The sequence below is a fragment of the Homo sapiens genome, chromosome 19, assembly GCF_000001405.40.
Source record: "Homo sapiens chromosome 19, GRCh38.p14 Primary Assembly".
In the NCBI taxonomy this organism is placed as follows: domain Eukaryota; kingdom Metazoa; phylum Chordata; class Mammalia; order Primates; family Hominidae; genus Homo; species Homo sapiens.
Window position 1 is genome coordinate 45,979,649 of NC_000019.10, and position 15,696 is coordinate 45,995,344.

The 15,696-nt window shown below is 47.8% G+C and overlaps 1 annotated feature.

Moving 5' to 3' along the window:
* Positions 15,177–15,366: an enhancer, noted in NCBI's record as "active region_14832". NCBI's record gives its function as "activates an Ori minimal core promoter by ATAC-STARR-seq in GM12878 lymphoblastoid cells {active_cell/tissue: GM12878}" and the evidence as "EXISTENCE:reporter gene assay evidence [ECO:0000049][PMID:35858748]".

Sequence of the window (15,696 nt, forward strand, 5' to 3'; positions counted from 1 at the left end):
CCGGTTAATTTTTGTATTTTCAGTAGAGATAGGGTTTCACCATGTTGGCCAGGCTGGTCATGAACTCCTGACCTTAAGTGATCCACCCACCTCGGCCTCCCAAAGTGCTGAAATTATAGGCATGAGCCACCACACCTGGCCTGCAATTTTAAATAGGGTTGACATAGAGAGAGAAGGCCTCGCTGAGGAATGACATTTGAGCAGAGACCTGAAGGAGGTGAGGGAGTGGGCCGCATGGGTCTGTAGGGGGAGCAGCAGGTGCAAAGGCCCTGAAGCAAGAGCATGTCTAGTATGTTGGAGGAAGAGCAAGGAGCCTAGGGAAGCTGGACGACAGTAGGGGAGGGGAATAGTGGGAGGAATAAGGCTAAAGAGCCAGTCAGGGAGCCAACTGTGCAGGGGGCCTTGAGGACCACCATAAAGACTTCAATTTGTATGCCTGTAATCCCAACACTTTGGGAGGCCAAGGCAGGAGGATCGTTTGAGGCCAGGAGTTCGAGATTAGCCTGGACAACATAGTGAGACTCTGTCTCTACAAGAAATTAAAATAAATTACCAGATGTGGTGGCATATACCCGTAGTTCCAGCTACTCTGGAAGCTGAGGATCGCTTGAGCCCAGGAGGTCAAGGCTGCAGTGAGCCAAGATCACGCCATTGCGACAGCCTTGGTGACACAGCGAGACCCTGACTCTAAATCAATTTTTTGTTAAAAGACTTAGATTTGACTCTGATTTAAGTGGGAGCCATGGGGGTGGGGGGGTGGTTGTGAACAGAGGAAGAACTTGAGCAGACTTAAATTTTATCACATGATCCTTCTGGGTTGGATACAGTGGCTCATGCCTGTAATCCCAACACTTTGGGAGGCCAGGGTGGGCGGGTTGCCTGAAGCCAGGAGGTTGAGGCTGCAGTGAGCTGAGATCGCACCACTGCACTCCAGTCTGGGTGACAGAGTGAGACCCTGTCTCAAAAAAAAAAAAAAAGTTGGGGAGGCCAGGCACGCTGGGTCATGCCTGTAATCCCAGCAGTTTGGGAGGCCGAAGCAGGCAGATCATCTGAGGTCAGGAGTTTGAGACCAGACTGGCCAACATGGCAAAACCTCATCTCTACTAAAAATGTAAATATTAGCAAGGTGTGGTGGTGGGCGCCTGTAATCCCAGCTACTCGGGAAGCTGAGGCAGGAGAATCACTTGAACCCGGAAGGTGGAGGTTGCAGTGAGCCAAGATTGCGCCACTGCACTCCAGTCTGGGCGACAGAGTAAGACTCTGTCTCAAAAAAAAAAAAAAAAAAAAAAAAAAAATACTGGGGGGAATCCTTCTGGCTGTGTATGAAGAACATGGTAGCAGGGATGGGGCAGAAGTAAGGAGCCCAATAGGAGGTGACTTTGACCAACCAGGTGAGAGGTGCTGGTGGTTGGACCAGGATGTGAGACAGCAGTGCTGGTGAGGAGATGTCTTGGAATCCCAGTTCTCCCCTGTGACTTTGGGCAAGTCATTTCAGAGTCTGTTTCCCGATTTACAGATGAGGATGATAATAAAGCTCCCACCTCAGAGGGCTCCTGCGTAGTCTTCATTTCACTGAGCGTGAATAGCCCCTGGCACAAGTGCCGCCTGCCATTGTCACTAATTTTATCCTCAAGGCTCCTGGATCAGGGCACTTCTGTACCCTGCCCAGTGGTGCACAGGTGGGCTTTGGGGAGGAGGATAAGGAGAAGAGATTTAATCTTGTGTGCTGATTGTGTGTTTATCTGATCCTGGGGATATCTGAGTCAGGGCTTTCTCTTCCTAACAGCCTGTCTGTAGTAGGGAGTATTGAAGTCCAGTGAGGGGTGCTAGCTTGCCCAGAAGCCCACAGTGAGTTGGGGGCTGAGCCAGGGCTAGAAATCTATCCCTGCCTCCTGTTTTCTCAGGCCTGTGTTCCAGGTCCTGGCTGCCACCTTGGTGATTTTGGCAACTGACTGAGTCCCCTCCCCCGCTCCAGCCTCAACATCTTCCTATGAGTCCCTGCTGCCTCTGGGAGAAATTCCAAACTCTCCCGGTTGCTCAGGCCAAAACCTTGCAGTTGCCCTTGACATCCCTTTCTTCCTCACACCCACATCCACTCCATCAGCAAACCCTTTCTGCTCTACCTTGAGTTCCAAATCTCACCCCATCTCCCTACCTCCAGCGGCACCACCGAATGGGGGTCCATTAGCTCCCACCTGGACTCTCCCAGGAGCCTCCTCCCTCAGACCCCACTTCCACACTGGCCCACCCTTTCCCACCAGCAACCAGAGTCATCCTTTTTTTTTGAGACCGAGTCTCGCTCTCTCGCCAAGGCCAGAGTGCTGTGGCTCAATCTCAGCTCACTGCAGCCTCCACCTCCTGGATTCAAGCTATTCTCCTGCCTCAGCCTCCCGAGAAGCTGGGATTACGGGCACGTGCCACCACACCTGGCTAATTTTTGTATGTTTAGTAGAGACGGGGTTTCACCATGTTGGCCAGGCTGGTCTCAAACTCCTGACCTCAAATGATCTACCCGCCTTGGCCTCCCAAAGTGCTGGGATTACAGGCGTGAGCCACCGTGCCCGGCCCAGAGTCATCCTTTTCAAAGGTGAGTCAGATCACGCACTGCGCTTTATCTAAAAGAAATAAAAATGGGGTTTCTGGCCAGGCACAGTGGCTCATGCCTGTAATCCCAGCACTTTGGGAGGCCAAGGCAGGAGGATCGTGTGAGGTCAGGAGTTCAAGACCAGCCTGGGCAACACAGTGAAAGCCCATCTCTAAAAAAAAAAATTCAGCCACACACAGTATCTTCCACCTGTAGTCCCAGCTACTTGGCAGGCTGAGATGGGAGGATCATTTGAACCCAGGAATTCAAGGCTGCAGTGAGCCTTGATGACACCACTCGCACTGCAGCCTGGGTGACAGAACAAGAGCCTGTCTCAAAAAAAAGTGTGCGTGTGGGTGATTTCTGTAAGAACCTTGAGGAACAATCTGTATTGCTCTATTTCTTGGCTTAGGTTGTGGAAGACGAAGGCACTTTCTGTGTGTCTCTTATGACTACAAATAGTACGAATGGGTCGGCTGTGGTGGCTCACACCTGTAATCCCAGCACTTTGGGAGGCCAAGGCGGGTGGATCACAAGGTCAGGAGTTCGAGGCCAGCCTGGCCAACATGGTGAAACCCCGTTTCTACTAAAAAATACAAAAATTAACTGGGCATGGTGGCACGCGCCTGTAGTCCCAGCTACTCGGGAGGCTGAGGCAAGAGAATCACTTGAACCCAGGAGGTGGATGTTGCAGTGAGTCGAGATCGTGCCACTGCACTCCAGCCTAGGCGACAGAGCGAGACTCCATCTTAAAAAAGAAAACAAAACAAAACAAACAAACAAACAAAAAACCCCAGTGGAACTGTGAGAGAGCTGGGCTTTGAACCCTGGCAGCCTGGCTACAGGGGCCATTCTTTTAACTGCTTCACCAGCTGCCTCTCTTTCTCACATGTCCCCCTCCCTCAGCTGCAACGCCTCCCCACCCCATGGTCCTCTCCCTCCCTGGGGATCTCGATGCTTCCCTGATTTAGAACTGCAAGTGCGTAGACTTATGCTGATTCTATGCAATCATCTTCAGTTACATTTAATTTTAGTAATTTCTCCCCTTCATCTGTCCCCCCACAGGCACCCACTCTTATGTGCTTAATTTTTGGCCTTCCAATCTTTCTATTCTTTTATCAAGATCCCTGTGTATCCTTGCAGTTAGTTTTGCTGTATGTGGGTGTGTGTGGTGTTTTTTTTTTTTTTTTTTTTTGAGATGGAGTCTCGCTCTGTCGCCCAGGCTGGAGTGCAGTGGCGCGATCTTGGCTCACTGCAAGCTCCACCTCCTGGGTTCATGCCATCCTCCCGCCTCAGGCTCCCTAGTAGCTGGGACGACAGGCGCCCGCCACCACGCCCAGCTAATTTTTTGTATTTTTAGTAGAGATGGGGTTTCACCATTTACAGGATGGTCTCGATCTTCTGACCTCATGATCCACCCTCCTCGGCCCCCCAAAGTGCTGGGATTACAGGCGTGAGCCACCGTGCCCGGCGCTGTATGTGTGTTTTAAATTTGTAGAGTCGTTGTTAAGCTACAAACCTCATTCTCTTTCTTTCTTTCTTCTTTTTGAGAGCTCTCTGGGTGGCTATGCTTATTTCTAGCTGGAGATGAGTGCCAGAGTCTGCCCCGGTTCAAGTTCCATCCTCACTGCTTATTGGATGAATGACCTTGGGCAAGTTACTTAACCTCTCTGGGCTTCAGTTTCTCCATTTGTAAGATGAAAGTTGTTAAATAATGGTCACTTTCTCATAGGATTGTTGCAAGCTGGTTTTTTGTTTGTTTTTTAGAGATGGAATATTGCTCTGTCACCCAGGTTGGAATGCAGTGGTGCCATCATAGCTCACTGCAGCTTCAAACTCTGGTACTTATTTGGTCTTGAAACCCACTGGGAAACAGTAGAACAGTGAGTTTTGCAAAGGCAGGAACAAGGAATTGAGTAGAGGGTAACTCCTTATGCTGGAAGGTCCTGGGCTCCAGCGATCCTCCTGGCTTGACTTGCTAAAGTGCAAGCTGATATCCTTTTTTTTTTTTTTTCTGAGATGGAGTCTTGCTCTGTCGCCCAGGCTGGAGTGCAGTGGCACGATCTCGGCTGACTGCAACCTCTGCTTCCTGGGTTCAAGCAATTATCCTGCCTCAGCCTTCCAAGGAGCTGGGATTACAGGCATGCGCCACCACGCCCCGCTAATTTTTGTATTTTTAGTAGAGACGGGGTTTCACCATGTTGGCCAGGCTGGTCTTGAACTCCTGACCTCGTGATCCAACCACCTCGGTCTCCCAAAGTGCTGGGATTACAGGCATCAGTCACCGCTCCCAGCCCAAGCTGATATCTTAAAGCATTCAGCATTGGGCATTTACTGAGCAATACACTGATGTTAGTTTCTCCCTCTTTTACATTGCTGTGTAGTATTCCACTGTGTATTCCATATTCTACTTCTCCAACCCTAATGATGGACATCTACTTCTTTCCAACTCCTTGCTGCCTAAATTGCACTCCAATGGACATCCTCATACAAATCTCATTTAAGGGCCTGTTGGACAGTGTGATAATTGGGTCATCAGGCATCCTCACATTTAATTTCTTAAAGTATTGCTGGATTGTTCGCCAGAAGGGATGCACCTCTTTGGCCTCCTACCATCCATGGCAAATGATCCATTCTTGCATATATTCCTCCAGAACTTGATGTTCTTAGACTGTCTAATTTTTGCCAATCTGTTGGATGTCAGAGAATGAATGTATTGCTTTGATACTTTTTTTCCTTTTTTTTTTTTTTTTTTTGAGACGGAGTCTCACTCTATTGCCCTGGCTGGAGTGCAGTGGTGGGATCTCGGCTCACTGCAAACTCTGCCTCCCGGTTTCACGCCATTCTCCTGCCTCAGCCTCCCGAGTAGCTGGGACTACAGGCGCCCGCCACCGTGCCCGGCTAATTTTTTGTAGTTTTAGTAGAGACGGGGTTTCACCGTGTTAGCCAGGATGATCTCGATCTCCTGACCTCATGATCCGCCCGCCTTGGCCTCCCAAAATGCTGGGATTACAGGCGTGAGCCACCGCGCCCAGCCCTTTCTTTTTTTTAAGACGGAGTCTCGCTCTGTCACCCTGGCTGGAGTGCAGTGGTGTGCTCTCAGCTCACTGCAATCTCTGCTTCCTGGGTTCATGTGATTCTCCTACCTCAGCCTCCCAGGTAGCTGGGGTAGCCACGCCTAGCTAATGTTTTTGTATTTTTAGTAGAGATGGGGCTTCACCAGGTTGGCCAGGCTGATCTCGATCTCCTGACCTCAAGTGATCCATGCGCCTCGGCCTCCTGAAGTGCTGGGATTACAGGCCTGAGCCACAGCGCCCGGCCTTGATACTTTCTTATGTAGATCAGCTTAGCTTCTTCAGGTTTCCTCGGTCTTCATCTCTACCCAGAGTTACCACAAACTAATGTGTGTGTGTATATAAGGCTTTCAATATGAACCCTTCAATATTATATATGTACATTATATATATATCCACATACACACACACACATATGTATATATACACACACATATATATATATATAATAGTTTGGAGACAGGGTCTCGCTCTGTTGCCGAGGCTGGAGTGCAGTGGTGCAATCTCAGCTCACGGCAGCCTCAACCTCCTTGGCTCAAGTAATCCTCTCAACTCAGCCTCCTGAGTAGCTGGGACCACAGGCATGGGCCACCACACTTGTCTAATTTTTGTATTTTTTGTAGAGTCGGGGTTTCGTCATGTTGCCCAGGCTGGTCTCAAACTCCTGAGCTCATGCAATGCACCTACCTTGGCCTCCCAAAGTGTTGGGATTACAGGCCTGAGCCACCATGCCTGGGCCAAACACTTTAATATTTTAATTGCTGTCACAGTAGAAAAGGAATCATAATAGCACATCCCTTCTAAACTGTTATGACGATTCAGTGAATGATAATAGCCACGGTTTATTATGTGTTTACTACACGGCGTGTGCTGTGCTAAACTCTGTATACATTTACTCACTTATTTCCTCTAAAAGCTCTGGGAGGTCCCTGCTGCTGCTATCGCCCCCATTTTATAGAGGAGAAAACTGACACATGAAGAAGTTGACTGCAAGAAGCAGAGCTGGAATTGAAATCCAGGCAGACAGGCTAACTGACCATCTCACTGCCTCTCAATGAGCCTATGCAGGAAAAACACACAGGGCTTCACAAATATTCTGTATCATCCCACCTGTGATACTCAGGCAGGGCAGTCCAGAAGGGCTTGGGGAACGTTTGCTGATTGCCTCTGCAAATTTCTTTTTTCGAGACGAGGGCTTGCTCTGTTGCCCAGGCTGGAGTGCAGTGTGGCACGCATAATCATAGCTCACTGCAGCCTCAACCTCCCCGGTTCAAAACATCCTCTTGCAGCAGCCTCCTGAGTAGCTGGGACTACAGGCACACACCACCACACCCAGCTAATTTTTTTTATTTTTAGTAGAGATAGGGTCTCACTATGTTGCCCAGGCTGGTCTTGAACTCCTGGGCTCAAGTGATCTGACTGCCTCAGCCTCTCAAAGTGCTGGAATTACAGGCATGAACCACTGCACCTCCTCCACAAATTTCATAATGGGTTGAGCTATTGGGACATTTTCCGAGCATAATAATAATTGCATGTTGCATTTGGGAGAAAAACATCATTTTAGAGCGTATAAAACCTGAAAGGGACCTCAGTGGGTTGTTACCGCATCTGTAAAAGGTTCGGGTAAGACTCATGGTCCCTCTCCTTTCCAGAGCCCCTCTGTTTACCACATCAAAGCATTTATAACCATAATCATCACAGCCAGATTCTTTATTTATTTATTTATTTTGAGACAGCGTTTTGCTCTGTCGCCCAGGCTATAGTACAGTGGTGCAATCTTGGCTCGCTGCAACCTCTGCCTCCAGGGTTCCAGCGATGCTCCTGCTTCAGCCTCCCAAGTAGCTGGGACTACAGGTGTGCACCACCATGTCCATCTAATTTTTGTATTTTCAGTAGAGACAGGGTTTTGCAATATTGGCCAGGCTGGACTCAAACTCCTGACCTCAAGTGGTCCTCCCAAAGTGTTGGGATTAAAGGCATGAGCCACCATGCCCGGCCAACAGGCAGGTTTTTATGAGAATCCCCAAGAGCAGCACTTCTGCAGGGTACACGGCTGTCACCCAGCTCTTTCCTACTCTGCACCTGCATCTGCTGAACGTGGCCGGAGAAAAACACATAATACAGTGGTGAGACTGAGCTCACCACAATTTCACGATTACTCACCTGGGGGCTGGGGACTGCCTGCCAACCTCAGTCCTGTCTATTCACTCTCCCACCCTCCTGGGAATCTATTTCCTACCTGTGGTTCCCTCCTCCAACCTTGCCCACCTCCTCTCCATCCTCACCCTCACCCTTGACCCTGTTCTTAGTTCCTGGAGAGAAGAGAAGCCATCAGGAAACTTCCTCAGATTTTCTTGTTTTTTTTTTGGTTTTGTTTTGTTTTTTGTTTTTTGTTTTTAATGGAGTCTTGCTTTATCTCCCAGGCTGGAGTGCAGTGGTGCAATCTCGGCTTACTGCAACCTCCGCCTCCCGGCTTCAAGTGATTCTCCTGCCTTGGCCTGCTAAGTAGCTGGGACTACAAGTGCATGCCACCACACCCAGCTAATTCTTGTATTTTTTTTTTTTTTTTTTTTTTTTAGTAGAGACGGGGTTTTACCATGTTGATCAGGATGGTCTTGATCTCCTGACCTTTGATCCACCAACCTCGGCCTCCCAAAGTGCTGGGATTACAGGCATGAGCACCGCACCCGGCCCTTACGCAGGTTTTCAACACATCTACCCACCTACCTGTGACTATTGTTTTCCTCTCTCCTGTTAACTGCAGAAACACTCTCAGCCAAGGCCAACTTCTACATGTGTACACTTGGTCCCCTTCTCTCTCGCCTACTCAGGGACATCAGTCAAGCAAGCCTCTGCTTTCTCTCCTGCACCATCAATTCTCCGGTATCTCCTCGAGCATTCTCATTGGCATCAAAGCACATTCTAATACAAACCTGCTTTTTCTTTTTCTTTCTTTCTTTCTTTCTTTCTTTCTTTCTTTCTTTCTTTCTTACTTTCTTTCTTTCTTTCTTTCTTTCTTTCTTTCTTTCTTTCTTTCTTTCTTTCTTTCTCTCTTTCTCTCTCTCTTTCTTTCTTTCTTTTTTTCTTTGAGATGGAATCTTGTACTGTTGCCTGGGCTGGAATGCAGTGGTGCGATCTCAGCTTACTGAAACCTCCACCTCCTGGGTTCATGCGATTCTCCTGCCTCAGCCTCCCGAGTAGCTAGGATTACAGACACACACCACCATGCCTGGCTAATTTTATTATTATTATTATTATTAGTAGTAGTAGTAGTATTTCTATTTGTATTTTTAGTAGAGACGGGGTTTCACTATGTTGGCCAGGCTGGTCTCGAACTCCTGACTTTGTGATCTGCCTGCCTCAGCCTCCCAAAGTGCTAGGATTACAGGCGTGAGCCACCACGCTGGGCCTCTGCTTTTTAAACTCCGTGTCTGACTCTAGCTTCAATGTTCTGCTGCTCTTTATAATACAATCCTCAGAGACTGGGCATGGTGGCTCATGCCTGTAATTTCAGCACTTTGGGAAGCCAAGACGGGTACATCACTTGAGGCCAGGAGTTCAAGACCAGCCTGGCCAACATGGGCAAAACCCCATCTCTACTAAAAATACAAAGATTAGCTGGGCGTGGTGGCCGGCACCTGTAATCCCAACTACTCGGGAGGCTGAGGCAGGAGGATTGCTTGAACCCGGGTGGTGGAGGTTGCAGTGAACCGAGATCGTGCCACTGCACTCCAGCCTGGGCAACCAAGTGAGACTCTGTCTCAAAAAATAACATAATAAAATAAAATAAAACAACACAATCCTCAGAGGTATTTGTACTCATCTTGTGTCTCTGATTCCTTTTCCTCCCAAATCTGTGACTTTGCCAAATCAGCTGTTTTTTTTTTTTTTTTTTCTCAGGCTGGTCCTGAACTCCTGGGGCCAACTGATCCTCCTGCCTCAGCCTCGTGAGTAGCCGAGACTACAGGCATGTGCTACCATGTCTGGCTATTTTTAAAATGTTTTGTAGAGACAGAGTCTCCCTATGTTTCCCAGGCTGGTCTCGAACTCCTAGGCTCAAGTGATCCTCCCTCCTCAGCCTCCCAAATAGCTGGAATGGCAGGTGCAAGCCACTGTGCCCAGCTCCAAATCAGCTCTTGGTGATGTTACCAATGACCCCTATGTGGCTCAGTCCCGTTGTCCAGTGGCCTGTCCTCATATTACTTGAGCTCCCTCCTTGTTGACAGTCATGCCTTCCTCCTTGGTTTATTTTCTCCCTCAGGTTCCAGGACACTCCACTCTCAAGACTTCCCTTCTGGCCCATTGGCTCCTCTGCAGTCTTGCCCGTCCTTGGAGTCTTTAAACATTGGAGGGCTGTAGGGCTCAGTTCTGGATTCTCTTCTCCTTTCTCTCTTCACTCACTCTTTTGGTGATGGACTCCCACATCAATCAGTCTAGGTTGGATCTTATCCCTGAACTCAGACTCATATTCACCTGTCCTCTCAATATTTCCACTGGGAAGTCTACTGGGTACCTCAACACTTCCAAAACCAAATTTCTGATTCACATTCTCCTCCTGTCTCCCTATACCTGCAATTCACCTAATCTCAATACGTGGAAACCTCATCTTGGCATCTTTTCAGATCAAAAACCTTAGAGTTGGCCGGGCGCGGTGGCTCACGCCTATAATTCCAGCACTTTGGGAGGCTGAGGCGGGTGGAACACCTATGGTCAGGAGTTCAAGACCAGCCTGGCCAACATGGTGAAACCCTATTTCTACTAAAAATGCAAAAAATTAGCCAGGCGTGGTGGCGGGTACCTGTAATCCCAGCTACTCGGGAGGCAGAGGCAGGAGAATCGCTTGAACCCGGGAGGCGGAGGTTGCAGTGAGCCGAGGTCGCGCCACTGCACTCCAGGACCCTTAGAATCATTTTTGACTCCTCTCTTTCTCTTCCTCCCGACACTCAATCCATCAGCAGATTCTGTCAGCTCTACCTTCAGAATAGATTCTAACCACTTCTCACCACCTCCGCCATCACCACCCTCGTGGAAGCCACCATCACCTCTCATTCTAATGATTTTTTAATCTGTTGCTTAAATTCTTTTTTTATTGAGGTGAAATTCACATTAACAGAAAATTAACCATTTTAAAGTGAGCAATTCAGTGGCATTTAGTACGTTCATAATGTTGTGCAATCATCACCTCCATCTAGTTCCAAAACATTTCATCACCCCCCAAAGGAGACCTCACACCCATTAAACAGTGATTACCCATTCGCTCCTTCCCCCAGCCTCTGGCACCACAACACTATTTTCTGTCTCTGTGGACTTGCCTCTTCTGGACACTTCATATAAATGGAATCATACACTATGTGACCTTTTGTGTTTGTCTTCTTTCACTTAGCATCATGTTTTCAAGGTTTATTATCCATGTTGTAGCATCTATCAGCACTTCATTTCTTTTCTCTTTTTCTTTTGTTTTTGAGATGGAGTCTTGCTCTGTTGCCCAGGCTCGAGTGCAGTAGCGCGATATTGGCTTGCCGCAACCTCCGCCTCCCGGGTTCAAGCAATTCTCCTGCCTCAGCCTCCTGAGTAGCTGGGATTACAGGCATGCGCCTCCATGCCTGGCTAATTTTGTATTTTTAGTAGAGACTAATATGGTTTTGCCATGTTGGCCACGCTGGTCTCGAACGTCTGACCTCAGGTGATCCGCCTGCCCCGGCCTCCCAAAGTGCTGAGATTACAGGCATGCCACTGCACCTGGCCTTATCTGCTCATAGATTTATGGACATTTGGGTTGTTTCCACCTTTTAGCTATTGTGAATAATGCTGTTATGAACATCCATGTACAAGTATTTGAATACCAGTTTTTAATTCCCAGGTATACACCTAGGAGTGTAATTGCTGGGTCATGTGTTAATTCTGTTTAACTTTCTGAGAAACTGGCTGTTTTCCATGTCCACATTATTTTAACAGCCTAAGTTTTTTAATTTAAATTTTTATTTTTAGAGATCGGTTCTCACAGGCTGGAGTGCAGTGTCGAACTCCTGTCCTCAAACAATCCACCTGCCTCAACCTCCCGAGTAGCTAACAGCCTATTCTTAATGCAGCCACCATAATGATCATTGAAGACATGAATGAGTAGGCCAGGCGGTGGGGCTCACCCCTGTAATCCTAGTACTTTGGGAGGCTGAGGCGGGTGGATTGCTTGAACTCAGGCGTTCCAGACCAGCCTGGGTAACATGGCGAAACCTCGTCTCTACTAACAATACAAAAGTTAGCCAGGTGTGGTGGTGCATGCCTGTAATCCTGCTACTCGCGGGGTTGAGGCAGGAGGATTGCTTGAAACAGGGAGGCTGAGGTTTCAGTAAGCCGAGATGGAGCCACTGCACTCCAGCCTGGGTGACAAAGTGAGACCCTGATTCAAAAAAAAAACAAAAAAAGACATGAGTAAAATTATGTCCTCTCTGCCTAATACCTTCGATGGCTCCCACCTCACTCAGAGTAAAACAAAAGGCCTCACAAGGGCCGACAAGGCCTTATATAACCTGGTCTCAGGCATCCTCCCAGACATCATCTTCTGTCACACTCCACACACTCAATATTGATGTCTTTGCTGTTTCTTAGAAACACCAGGCATGTTCCCACTACAGGGCCTTTGTACTCACTGTCTCATCTTCTTGCAATGGTCCACCTTGGTACCCTCAAGGCTGGCTTGGCCAGGAGCGGTGGCTCACGCCTGTAATCCCATCACTTTGGGAGCCCGAGGCGGGTGGATCACATGAGCTCAGGAGTTCGAGAGCAGCCTGGCCAACATGGTGAAACCCCATCTCTACTGAAAATACAAAAATTAGCCAGGCATGGTGGCATGTGCCTGTAATCCCAGCTACTTGGGAGGCTGAGGCAGGAGAATTGCTTGAACCCAGGAGGTGGAGGTTGCAGTAAGCTGAGATCACGCCATTGCACCTCCAGTCTGGGCCACAGAGCGAGACTCCATCTCAAAAATAAATAAATAAATAAATAAAAATAAAAATAAAAAAAATAAATAGGCTGGGTGTGGTGGCTCACACCTGTAATTCCAGCACTTTGGGAGGCTGAGATAGGTGGATCACTTGAGGTCAGGAGTTCAAGACCAGCCTGGCCAACACGGTGAAACCCCATCTCTACTAAAAATACAAAAAAATTAGCCAGGCCTGGTGGCAGGCACCTGTAATCCCAGCTACTCAGGAGGCTGAGGCAGGAGAATTGCTTGACTTTGGGAGGTGGAGGGTGCAGTGAGTCAGGCGCCACTGCACTCCAGCCTGGGCGACAGAGTGAGGCTCTCTCTCCAAAATAAATAAATGAATAAATAAATTCCTGGCTCAGTCACTTGCTTCAGGTCTCTGCTCTAAATCAGCTTTTCTGAGACATCTTCCCACCCCTCTAACCCCCAGTTCCATCCACTTCACTCTGCTTTATTTTCTCTGTAGCACTTATCACCCCGGACCTGGACATTTCTTTCTTTCTTTTTTTTTTTTTTCTTTTTTTTGAGATGGAGTCTCGCTCTGTGGCCCAGTCTGGAGTGTAGTGGCCTGATCTCAGCTCACTGCAACCTCTGCCTTCCGGGTTCAAGCGATTCTCCTGCCTCAGCCTCCCAAGCAGCTGGGATTACGGGCATGCACCGCCATGCCCAACTAAGTTTTGTAGTTTTAGTAGAGACAGAATTTTGCCATGTTGGCCAGGCTGGTCTTGAACTCCTGACCTCAGGTGATCCGCCTGCCTTGGCCTCCCAAAGTGCTGGGATTACAGGCGTGAGCCACCGCGCCTGGCCTATTTCTTTACTATATGTTATTATTTGCCTTCCTTTCACTAGGGTATGAGCTTTTCCTGTTTGTTACCAGATGTTTCTACCTCCAGCACCCAGAAAAGTGCCTGGAACATAGCAGGTGCTCAATAAATGGCCTGACAAGTGAGTGAAGAAATAAGTGAAGCAATGAATTGAACTCCACTTACAGATGAAGAAAGTGAAGTTCCCAGAAGAGGCATGACTTGTGGGAGGTCTCACAGCTGGCAAGGGAAAGCCTTCAGATTCTAATCCATGTTTCCTTTTTTTTTAATTGTTATTTATTTATTAATTATTTTCTTAGAGACAGAGTCTTGCTCTGTCACTCAAGCTGGAGTGCAGGCATTTATGGGATTTAGCTGAGGGGAAGGTGAAGTGAGAATACATTTAGATTGGGTTTACAGGGATATTTTTATGTGGTTCATAGATACTTCTCGGATACTTAAACCACCTAATTAGTTGTCATGGCGTAGAAATGGCTTCCCGGAATGCTTCTGTTGTGTAAGTTACTAACTCACTAGATGCGAGGCCACAGCCTACTAAATGGCATGAATGTATCTTTTAGCGGCTCATTCCAGAAGCATCTGTGTAACAGAAATGTCAGGAATTGAAAGGAAGCCTGCGCGGTGGCTCACACCTGTAATCCCAGCATTTTGGGAGGCTGAGGTGGGAGGACTGCTTGAACTCAGGAGTTCGAGACCAGCCTGGGCAACATAGTGAAACCCCATGTGTACTAAAAATAAATTAAAAAAAAATTAGCCAGATGTGATGGCGTGTGCCTGTAGTACCAGCTACCTGGGAGGGTAAGGCAGGAGGATCACTTCAGCTCAGGAGTTCAAGGCTGCAGTGAGCCATGAACATGCCACTGCACTCCAGCCCAGCGATGAAGCGAGACCCTGTCTCAGCAAACAAAGAAACCAACAAACAAAAAATTGAAAGTATTGAGCCAGAAGTTAGTCTGTGGAAACATTTTCCAAAACATAGTTAACATGTGAATGAAACTTTATGAAAGTTTTTCTTTTTTTTTTTTTGGAGGTGGCATCTCACTCTGTTGCCCAGGCTGGCGTGCAGTGGCACGATCTTGGCTCACTGCAACCTCCGCCTCCCGAGTTCAAGTGATTCTCCTGCCTCAGCCTCCTGAGTAGCTGGGATTACAGGCGTCCGCTACTGCGCCCAGCTAATTTTTTATATTTTTAGTAGAGACAGGGTTTCACCAGGTGGTTCAGGCTGGTCTCGAACTCCTGACCTCGTGATTCCCAAAGTGCTGGGATTACAGGTGTGAGCCACCGCGCCTGGCCAGAAGTTTTTCTAGATTTCCAAAAGACTTCAATAACATCACCAATACTGATTTGTGAAGCTGAAACTTGTTCTAAATTATAATGAATTTTTAAAAAGTTCCATCAACCACGCTAGAGGAAAGATAACTTACTTTTCTCTTTGTAGACAAGGATATTGTGAAACATGCAGCTGAAAAAGTAGGAAACATCACAGAGGTGTGTCAGGCAGAAAATTAATAAAAACATTACGTTATCCTTTGGGATTTTGCAATGTTTGTGGTATTTGGCTCTTTTAAATATGTAATTTGTTATTATTTCATATTCTAAGTAAACTTTCATGTCAGTTTTTTTTTTTCTTTAAACTTTATTTTCCTTTCTTAAAGAGGTCCCTCCTCCCCCATCCCCGCGCTCAATTCCTTTAGCTGGATCCTTCCAGTTCATGACTGATCGGTTTAAAATATGGGTCGTTCAAAAGCCGTGTGAACCCGGGCTAGTGGCTATACCTCTCTGAGACTGTTTTCTTAGTGGTAAAATGGAAATCATAATAACTTTGCAGGGCTGTTATAAAGTTTAAATAAGCCAAGTCCTGCAAAATGCTTAGTGCAGGTTTGGAATGCACCAAGCGATGACAAATCTCAACCTGTCTTTATGCTGAGACCACTCCCCAGTTTCCGGAGCCGCGGCCACTATCTCCCCATGCGCATGCACACCCGGCTCTCCCTTCCAGGCCCTCCCCACCACGTGGGCGCGGCCTACCCTCCCGCAGGGGGTAATAGGTGGAGTCAAGGGGCTACTTCCGGGATTCTTTCCCTTCCACTCTGGGGAACAACCTTTTTGTATGACTGGCAGCATTATTAGCCAGTAGTGATTAGAGAAGAGCCCGACGTTAGGTGCCTCCCCCAACCCATTTGGGACAGCCTCTTCTTAGTTAGCCAATTGGAAGTTTTGGAGGGCGGGTTC